Raw genomic sequence first — 10,875 nt, 5'->3', positions numbered from 1 at the left:
TGAATACAGCACACCAATGAGTCTTGACTCTTTATCCCATTTGCCAGTCTGTGTCTTTTAACTGGGGCATTTAGCCCATTGACATTTAAGGTTGATATTGTTATGTCTGACTTTGATCCTGTCATTATGATATTAGCTGGTTATTTTGCCCATTAATTGATGCAGTTTCTTCATAGTGTCGATGGTTTTTACCATTTGGCATGTTTTTGCAGTGGCAGGTACTGATTGTTTCTTTCCATGTTTAGTGCTTCCTTCAGGAGCTCTTGTAAGGCAGGCCTGGTGGTGACAAAATCTCTCAGCATTTGCTTGTCTGTAAAGGATTTCATTTCTCCTTCACTTATGAAGCTTCGTTTGACTGGATATGAGATTCTGGGTTGAAAATTCTTTCCTTTAAGAATGTTGAATATTGGCCCCCTCTCTCTTCTTGGTTGTAGGGTTTCTCCTGAGAGATCTGCTGTTAGCCTGATGGGTTTCCCTTTGAGGATAACCTGACCTTTCTCTCTGGCTGCTCCATCAGGTCATTTAAGGTCTTCTCTACACTGTTTATTTTAGTTAGCCATTCATCTAACATTTTTTCAAGGTTTTTAGCTTCCTTGCAATGAGTTAGAACATGCTTCTTTAGCTCAGAGAAGTTTGTTATTACCAACCTTCTGAAGCCTACTTCTGTCAACTCATCAAAGTCATTCTCCATCCAGTTTTGTTCCCTTGCTGGCGAGGAGCTGCAATCCTCTGGAGGAGAAGAGATGCTCTGTTTTTTGGAATTTTCAGCTTTTCTGCTCTGGTTTCTCCCCATCTTTGTGGTTTTATCTACCTTTGGTCTTTGTTGTTGGTGACCTACAGATGGGGTTTTGGTGTGGATGTTCTTTTTGTTGATGTTGATGCTATTCCTTTCTGTTTCTTAGTTTTCCTTCTAACAGTCTCAGCTGCAGGTCTATTGGCATTTGCTGGAGGTCCACTCCAGACCCTGTTTGCCTGGGTATCACCAGCAGAGGCTGCAGAACAGCAAATACTGATGCCTGATCCTTCCTCTGGAAGTTTCATCCCAGAGGGGCACCCGCATGTTTGAGGTGTCTGTCGGCCCCTACTGGGAGGTGTTTCCCAGTCAGGCTACACAGGGATCAGAGACCCGCTTGAGGAGGCAGTCTGTCCATTCTCGGAGATCGAACACCATGCTGAGAGAACCACTGCTCTCTTCAGTGCTGTCAGACAGGGACGTTTAAGTCTGTAGAAGCTGTCTGCTGCCTTTTGTTCTACTATGCCCTGCCCCCAGAGGTGGAATCTATAGAGGTAGTAGGCCCTGCTGAGCTGTGGTGGGCTCCGCCCAGTTTGTGCTTCCCAGCTGCTTTGTTTACACTGTAAGCTACTCAAACCTCAGCAATGGCAGACACCCCTCCCCCCATCAAGCTGCAGCATTGCAGGTCAATCTCAGACTGCAGTGAGCAAGGCTGTGTGGGCGTGGGACCCACTGAGCCAGGCATGGGTGGGTATCTCCTGGACTGCCAGTTGCTAAGACTGTGGGAAAAGTGACGTATTTGGTCAGAGGTGTACCATTTCTTCAGGTACAGTCTGTCATGGCTTCCCTTGGCTAGGAAAGGGAAATCCCCCAACCCCTTATGCTTCTTGGGTGAGGCGATGCCCTGCCTTGCTTCAGCTCACCTTCTGTGGGCTGCACCCACTCTCCAACCAGTTCCAGTGAGATGAACCAGGTACCTCAGTTGGAAATGAAGAAATCGTCCATCTTCTGTGTTGATCTCCCTGGGAACTGCAGACCAGAGCTGTTCCTATTTGGCCATCTTGGAAATCCAATTCAAATTATATTCCCAGACTGATTTTAACAACCAGCTGTCCTGGGAACTAATAAGGTGAGAATTCACTCACCCTCCCCACCCCTCTTCACAGGGAGGGCATTAATCTATTAGTGAGCTATCTGTCCCCATGACTCAAACACCTTCCATTTGGCTGCATCTCCAGCAATTAGGATCAAATTTCCATATGAGGTTTAGGGGGACAAACGTTCAAACCATAACACCTACTTGACTACCTTGTCCTCAATTTACTTAGGTGTTTCATTCTGTGAAGGGAGCTTACCTTTCTGGGAAGCTGAGCCTATGGACACTAAAACCCAGGATATCCCAATCTCTGACAGTCCAGACTGAGTCCTGCTTGCCAGAAAGGTTGCTGTCTGGAGAGCCACAATTCTTTCAAATCTCTTTTTTGGTCCTGCAGCAACTTGTTAGAACTAGCTCTGCACATATTTTAATGGCTTCTCCAGCCTGTCAAGGAAGCTGGAAGAAGACTGCCATGTCACAGAGCCAAGCCAATCATTAGTCATCTTTATGACTTTCTCTTTCAGTGCCTAGCCCAATGCCTCAGGGTTCTCAAATCATACAGACATCCATTAAATCATAGCCACCTGTTTTAGTCTACCCATCCCTCTCCCCCTTTTCCTCTGAGACAGGGTCTCAGCCTCCTTGAGCAATGGTCATCCCCCTGCCATTTACCTGGCAAAAGTTGGCAAAAGAATGGAGATAATGTGTATGCCTGATCCTGAGTGTAGACACAGCTGGATTCCATCTTCACACATTTAGTGCTCACATTCCTCACACTTGGTCTTTTTCTCAACACCAACCCCCTGTACTCCCATTCTTCTGACCAAGAAGACTAAAGGCACCTTAAAGGCTATTTTAAAATATGTGTTTTCTGATTATTCTGGGGCCCCTGCTATGTTTATTTTTTCTGGACACGTAAGATTGAAAGGGATTGAAATGAAGGATTCAGAAGCATCTGAGAATGTTGTGGTGCCAGGGAGCCTTAGTCTTAACTAGTAGTGACTTAGGTTGACCTTGGATAAATCTTAGAACCTCTCTGAGCCTTAATGTTCCATCTGACTCTATCACTGAGATTAAATGTTACAGGAAAACAAAAGAAAGAGAAGTTTCTTCTGAATGTCAAGGCAGTCTTCAAAGAAAGGATAGGAATTGATTTGGGTTTCAAGATTAGGTATTAAGACTACTACTACCAACAATAACAAACACATATATTATACTTACCTCAAACTAAGCATCATTCTATGTACTTTACATACAGTAACCCATTTAATTCTCACCACAATCCCATAAAGTAGGAACTCTGACCATGATCCCCATTTTTCAGATGAGAAATAAGAGTCACAGAGACGTCAGAGGTCATGCCCAGGATCACACAGCTAGGAAGAGGTGTGATATGGTTTGGCTCTGGGCCCTCACCCAAATCTCATCCTGAATTGTAATCCCCATGTGTCAAGGGAGGTACCTGGTGGTTGTTGATTGGATTATGGGAGCAGTTTCCTCCATGCTGTTCTCATGATAGTGAAGGAGTCCTCAGGAGATCTGAAGGCTTTAAAAGTGTTTGGCAATTCCCCACTTCTCTCTCTCTCTCCTGCCACAATGTAAGAGGTGCCTTGCTTTCCTTTCACTTTCTGAAATGACTGTAGGTTTCCCGAGGCCTCTCCAGCCATGGGGAACTGAGTTGATTAACCCATATTTTTTAAATAAATTACCTATTCTCAGATATTTCTTTATAGCAGTGTGAAAACGGACTAATACAGATAATTGGTACCAGAATAGTGGTGTACTGCAATAAAGATAGCCTGAAAATGTGGAAGCAACTTTGGAACTGCGTAACATGAAGAGGTTGAAACAGTTTGGAGGTCTCAGATCAAGATAGGAATATGTGGGGAAGTTTGGAACTTCCTAGAGACTTGCTGAATTTTTTTGACCAAAATGCTGATAGTGATATGGACAATGAAGTCCAGACTGATGTAGTCTCAGATGGAAATGAGGAACTTATTGGGAACTGGAGTGAAAGTCACTTTTGCTATGCTTTAGCAAAGAGACTGGCATCATTTTTACCCCTGCACAATAGTGCAGCCTTGGGACTTGGTGTCCTGCGTCCCAGATGCTCCAGCTCCAGCCACAGCTAAAAGGGGCCAAGGTACAGCTCTGACCATGGCTTCAGAGGGTGCAAGATCTGTGGAATTTTTGACTTGAGAGAGGTGATTTAAGGTATCTAGTGGAAGAAATTTCTAAGCAGCAAAGCATTCAAGAGGTGACTTGGATTATTCTGAAAGCTTTCAGTTACATGCATTCACAAAAAGATGGTTTGAAATTGGAACTTATGTTTAAAAGAGAAGCAGAGCATAAAGTTTTGGAAAATTTGCAGCATCACTATGTGGTAGAAAAGAAAAACCCATTTTCTGGAGAGGAATTCAAGCTAGCTGCAGAAATTTGCATAAGTAAAAAGGACCCGAATGTTAATCACCAAGACAATGGGGAAAATGTCTCCAGGGCATGTCAGAAATCTTCACTGCAGCCCCTCCCATCACAGGCCCAGAGGACTAGAAAGGAAAAATGGTTTTGTGGGCCAGGTTCAGGACCCCACTGCTCTGTGCACCCTTGGGACTTGGTGCCCTGTGTCCTAGATGCTCCAGCTCCAGCCATGGCTAAAAGGGGACAAGGTACACCTCTGACCATGGGTTCAGAGGGTGCAAGCCACAAGCCTTGGTAGCTTCCACATGGTTTTGGGCCTGCAGGTATGCAGAAGACAAGAATTGAGCTCTGGGAACCTCCACCTAGATTTCAGAGAATGTATAGAAATGCCTGGATGTTCAGACAGAAGTCTACTGCAGGGGAGGAGTCCTCATGGAGAACCTCTGCTAGGGCAGTATGGTAGGAAAATGTGGGGTTGGGCCCCCCACACAGAGTCTCCACTGAAGCACTGCCTAAAGGAGCTGTGAGAAGTGTGCCATCATCCTCCAGATCCCAGAAAGATCGATCCACTAACAGCTTGCATCGTGCACCTGAAAAAGCTGCAGGCCCTCAATGCTGGCCAGTGAAAGCATGCAAGAGGGCTGTACTCTACAGAGCCACAGGGGCAGAGCTACCCAAGGCCTTGGGAGCCCACCCCTTCCACCAGCATGCCCTGGATGTGAGACATGAAGTGAAAGGAGATTTTTGAACTTTATGATTTAATGATTGCCCGGCCAGGTTTTAGACTTGCATGGGGCATGTGGCCCCTTTGTTTTGGCCAATTTCTCCCATTTGGAATGGGAACATTTACCAAATGCCTGTACCCCCATTGTATCTTGGAAGTAACTAACTGGCTTTTGATTTTACAGGCTCATAGGTGAGAGGGATTTGCCTTGACTCAGATGAAACTTTGGACTTTTACTTTTGAGTTAGTGTTACAATGAGTTGAGACTTTGAGGAACTGTTGGGAAGGCATGATTGGTATTGCAATGTGAAAAGCACAAGATTTGGGAGGGACCAGGGGTGCAATTATATGATTGGGCTCTGTGTCCCCACCCAAATATCATCCTGAATTGTAATCCCCACATGTCGAGGGAGGGACGTGGTGAGAGGTGATGGAATCATGGGGGCAGTTTTCCCCATGCTGTTCTCATCATATTGAAGGAGTTCTCATGAGATCTGATGGTTTTAAAAGTGTTTGGCAGTTCCCCCCTTCTCTCTCTTCTCTCACCATGTAAAAGGTGCCTTTCTTCCCCTTTTCCTTCCACCATGATTGTAGGTTTCTTGAGGCCTCCTCAGCCATGTGGAACTGTGAGTCAATTAAACCTCTTTTCTTTATAAATTACTCAATCTTGGGTATTTCTTTATAGCAGTGTGAAAATGGACTAATACAAGGTGAGACCACTATTTGAACTCAAGCAGCCTACCTGCAAGAATCCATGCTTTTTCATTCTGAACTACATTGCCACAGTGCATGGTAATAAGGATGAAGGGTATTCTATGCTGAGAGTGGGAGCTCCTGTGAACAAAGCTCTGGAGGCCATTTTTGCCTCCCAGTGGAAGCTGGAAGCAGAAAGATCAACTAGGAGCTAGTCCACTGAGATGAGGCCATGAAGGCTCAGGCTGTGGAGGGGAAGAAATGGAAGGGGGAAAACAGTGGAGATGAAAAGAAAAAGACAGATGCAACAGGTGCTGTCCAAAAGACTCAACAGGATTTGGTGACTATTTGAAAGAGAGAGGGAAATAGAAGGACTCAGGATTTGGAGTCTGAGGGATTCTGTGTAAAGGACAAAATTTGGCTCAAGGGAAAAGAGTCAGGTTTGGGGAGAATTCTGTAAGTTCTCATTTAGACAATTTGAATGTAAGGCAATACCAAGAGCCTTGGCGAGGGTCTTGGCGAGATACAGAAAGGTGGCAGTTGAGGCCATGGAAGTAGGAATAAGATGTGCCCTGCCTAGTGCTGTGTGTTGGGCTGCCATAGGGAGCCAACTACTGCTTTCTCTAGACCAGTGATTCTCAAACTTGAGCATGCATCAGAATTACCTGAAGAGCATATCTAAACACACATTCTCAGCCCTTCCACAAAAGTTTATGATTCAGTTGGCCTGGGTGCAGTCGGTCTGGGTGAAGCTCAAGGATTTGCATTTCTAACAAGTTCCCAGATAATGCTGATATTCCTGGCTTGGGGACTTCACTTTGAGAATCACTTCTCAAGAACAACTCTGAGACCCATATGGTTGCCTCACACATGTCACAAGCTCTGATACCTTTGTGTTTGAAACTGCAAAAACCTTAAAAGTCATTTAGTATCCCATTACCGGGTATATACCCAAAAGAATATAAATTATTCTACCATAAAGACACATGTATGTGTATGTTCATTGTAGCACTATTCATAATAGCAAAAACATGGACTCAACCTAAAGGCCCATCTACGGTAGGCTGGATAAAAAAAAAACTGTGATACATATACACCATGGTATACTATGCAACCATAAAAAAGAACAAGATAATTTCCTTTGCAAGAACATGGATGGAGCTAGAGGCCATTATCCTTAGCAAACTAATGCAAGAACAGAAAACCAAACACCACGTGTTCTCACTTATAAGTGGGAGCTAAATGATAAGAACATATGGACACATAGAGGGGAACAACAGACACTGGGACCTACTTGAGGGATGATGGTGTGAGGAGGGAGAGGATTAGGAAAAATAACTAATGGATACTATGCTTAGTACCTGGTTGATGAAATAATCTGTACAGCCAAATCCCCATGACACAATTTTACCTATATAACAAACCTGCACAGATAGCCCTAAACCTAAAATAAAAGTTAAAGAAAGTCATCTAGTAGGTCCAATCAGGCATGCAGCCAGAGAGAATGGGACTGCTTTCCACAATCTCGTGAGACTTTGGTTTCCATGGCATGAGGTCCGGGTCCCATCTCTATTGCTCTTCCCCTCAGCTCCTGGAATCCCACGGGGGCTTCATCACAACCTCTGTAACCCTTGCGACCTGTAGGTACTGGGAGATCTGCAGAAAGGGTGCTAGCACACCCAATAAGTCAGGAAATGGACTCAGTGGCGTTTGAAGATGTGATTGTGACTTTTACCTGGGAAGAGCGGCCTTTGCAAGGTCCTTCCTGGAAGAATCTACATAAAAATGTGATCCAAAAAATCTTAAGGAACTTGGGTTATATAGAAAACCAATGGAGAGACAAACATATTGAAAATCAGTACAAAAAATTCTTTCAGAGATTTAAGGTAATTTCCACTCACAAGAGAAAACATTATTCCTTAAGGGAATCTCAGCATGTCACAGTCATTTAACTTCAAGCAAACCAAAAAAATAAGCAAACTTTGAATATATTTATTCATAAAAAATGTTGACCAAAAATATATGCTTCCATGTAACATAAATGCTCAGTGTTTGCAAAGTAGTTCACTTGGAAACAGTGCTAAGAAACTGCATATATAAATATTTGGTAATAGCTATGGTGGAGGTAGCTCTGCTGGGGAGTAATCAATCCATTTACTTTCAAACACTTTAGTCAGTGCAGAAAATCTGGAATTTTCTGATATTGGTAGCAATCTAAGTTAAAGACCTTTTAATAAATAGAAAATCATTAATGAGACAACCATTAATAATGTGGTAGTCATTTTTCCAGATATCATATGATAAAGAGACTGGATGAAATTAAATAATGTAGTCAGTGGAGAGAAACCTTCACCCAGATTCCAAATCTTAGCCTGAACAAAAATCCTTAGCACTGGAGTAAAACTACATGAATGCATTGTGTTGAAAAGTGTTCATATATCACTTGTCCCTTCATAGGCACATTATATCTCACTCTGGATACAAACAATATGAGTGTGCAGAATGTGGAGAGAAGCCATCTAAATCTAAACAGTGTCAGAAAGCCCTCATTTATCTCACAACTACTCAAAGACACATGGTAACTCCCATTGTAAATGAACCTTATGAATGTACAGTATGTGAGAACGCCTTTGATTTTTCCAATTTATTTCAAATACAGCAGAGAATTCCCATTGCAGTAAGCCCTGTGGATGTAAACAAAATTGTAATCTCTTCAGGTTTTCTATTTCCTGTCCAATACATAAAAGAACTTACACTGGAGCAAAGCCCAGTGAATATAAGGAAGGTGGGAAATCATTTGATTTTCCCTTGTTTTTTAATAAAAGACATGAAAGTATTCACTCTGGAGGAAAGCCCTATCAGTGTAAGAAATGTGGTAAATCCTTTGCTATTTTATTTCTCTTTATAACCATGAAAAATATCATTCTGGAGAGAAACCCTATTAATGAAAGCAATATGGTAAGTCCCTCAGTCATTCTGTTCTGTTCATTATTTATTGAGCATTTTATTCAAAGACATGAAAGAACTCACAGTGGAGACAAATCCTATGAATGTAAGAAATGCGGTAAAGCCTTCAGTCTTTCCAGGAACCTTTATAGACATGAAATAATTCATCATCAAGAGAAACCTTATTAATGTAAGGAATGTGGGAAAGCCTTCAGTCATTCCAGTTACCTTTATAGACATAAAAGAACCATAGTGGAGAGAAACCCTGTAAATATAAGGAATGTGGGGAAGCCTTCAGTTGTTCCAGCCATCTTTATAACCGTGGAATAACTCATACCAGAGATAAACCCTATGAAAATTCTATAAACCTAAAAAAATGTGGTTAAAGCCTTCAGATATACTGGTGATTCTCGAATACATGAAAGAACTCACTGGAGTGAAATCTTGTGAATGGAAGAAATGTAGAAGAGCATTTAATTTTCTTGGTTTCTTTCAAAGATATGAAACAAAACAAACTGAATAAAAAACCCTATGACTAGAAGAAATGTGGTTTGAAAATGGGAAAGGACTCTGAAGAAAAACCTTATGAGTGTTAGAAATATTATGAGGCTTTCAGCTCTTCCAGTTCTATTTGATGACATAAAATAACTCATTGTGGAGGAAAACTCTATAAATGTCTAAAATGTGGGAATGCCTTCATTTCTTTCATATTTATTCAAAGACACATGATAATGCACACTGGAAATGGACCATATAAATATAAGAATGCGCCCCTTACTATGCAACTATGCATAATAATATGGAAAATACAGAAATATTCCATTTTAATTATATTAAAAATCACATGACATCTATTGGAATGAAATCCTATAAATGTAAGTAATATGGAAAGCCTGATGCAAACTCATTATTGTAGAGTGGTTGAGAAAATTCAGAACATGAATGAAATGGTATATGAGTTATTTATTGTGTTTATCAGTAACTCATTATTAAAGAGGATATCTAGACTGGATTTTCACTGCTTTTGCAAGTAAGCTTTGCAGTGAGAATTCAGTAGGTACTTTTAAAGAAATAGTGCATGAGTTTAATAGGTACTTTTTTTAAAAGGCAGTTACATTTTTTTATTTTTATTTTTTTATTATACTTTAAGTTCTAGGGTACATGTGCACAATGTGCAGGTTTGTTACATATGTATACATGTGTCATGTTGGTGTGCTGCACCCATTAACTCGTCATTTACATTAGGTATATCTTCTAATGCTATCCCTCCCCCCACCCCCCACTCCACGACAGGCCCTGGTGTGTGATGTTCCCCTTCCTGTGTCAAAGTGTTCTCATTGTTCAATTCCCACCTATGAGTGAGAACATGCAGTGTTTGGTTTTCTGTCCTTGCAATAGTTTGCTGAGAATGATGGTTTCCAGCTTCATCCATGTCTCTCCAAAGGACGTGAACTCATCCTTTTTTATGGCTGCATAGTATTACATGATGTATATGTACCACATTTTCTTAATCCAGTCTATCATTCTTGGACATTTGAGTTGGTTCCAAGTCTTTGCTATTGTGAATAGTGCCGCAATAAACCTACATGTGCATGTGTCTTTATAGCAGCAAGATTTATAATCCTTTGGGTATATACCCAGTAATGGGATTCCTGGGTGAAATGGTATTTCTAGTTCTAGATCCTAATGGTATTTCTAGTTCTAGATCCTTGAGGAATCACCACACTGTCTTCCACAATGGTTGAACCAGTTTACAGTCCCATCAACAGTGTAAAAGTGTTCCTACTCCTCCACAACCTCTCCAGCACCTATTGTTTCCTGACTTTTTAATGATCACCATTTAAACTGGTGTGAGATGGTATCTCATTGTGGTTTTGATTTGCATTTCCCTGATGGCAAGTGATGATGAGTATTTTTTCATGTGTCCATTAGCTGCATAAATGTCTTCTTTTGAGAAGTGTCTGTTCATGTCCTTCACCCACTTTTTGATAGGGTTGACTTTTTCTTGTAAATTTGTTTGAGTTCTTTGTAGATTCTGGATATTAGCCCTTTGTCAGATAAGTAGATTGCAAACATTTTCTCCCATTCTGTAGGTTGCCGGTTCACTCTGATGGTAGTTTCTTTTGCTGTGCAGAAGCTCTTCAGTTTAATTAGATTGCATTTGTCAATTTTGGCTTTTGTTGACATTGCTTTTCGTGTTTTAGACATTAAGTCCTTGCCCATGCCTATGTCCTGAATGGTAATGCCTAGGTTTTCTTCTAGGGT

At 41.6% G+C, this 10,875-nt stretch overlaps 1 pseudogene, besides 1 other annotated feature; it reads left to right on the top strand.

Annotated features, from left to right (window-relative positions):
- Positions 1,004–1,523: an enhancer, noted in NCBI's record as "NANOG hESC enhancer chrX:63372768-63373287 (GRCh37/hg19 assembly coordinates)". NCBI's record gives its function as "activates a minimal SCP1, AML or CMV promoter by ChIP-STARR-seq in primed H9 embryonic stem cells {active_cell/tissue: H9 hESC(primed)}" and the evidence as "EXISTENCE:reporter gene assay evidence [ECO:0000049][PMID:30033119]".
- Positions 7,359–9,502, top strand: LOC100419786 (zinc finger protein 670 pseudogene; annotated as a pseudogene).

The sequence above is a fragment of the Homo sapiens genome, chromosome X (genome assembly GCF_000001405.40).
Source record: "Homo sapiens chromosome X, GRCh38.p14 Primary Assembly".
Taxonomy (NCBI): domain Eukaryota; kingdom Metazoa; phylum Chordata; class Mammalia; order Primates; family Hominidae; genus Homo; species Homo sapiens.
This window is presented reverse-complemented; position numbering and strand designations above follow the sequence as displayed.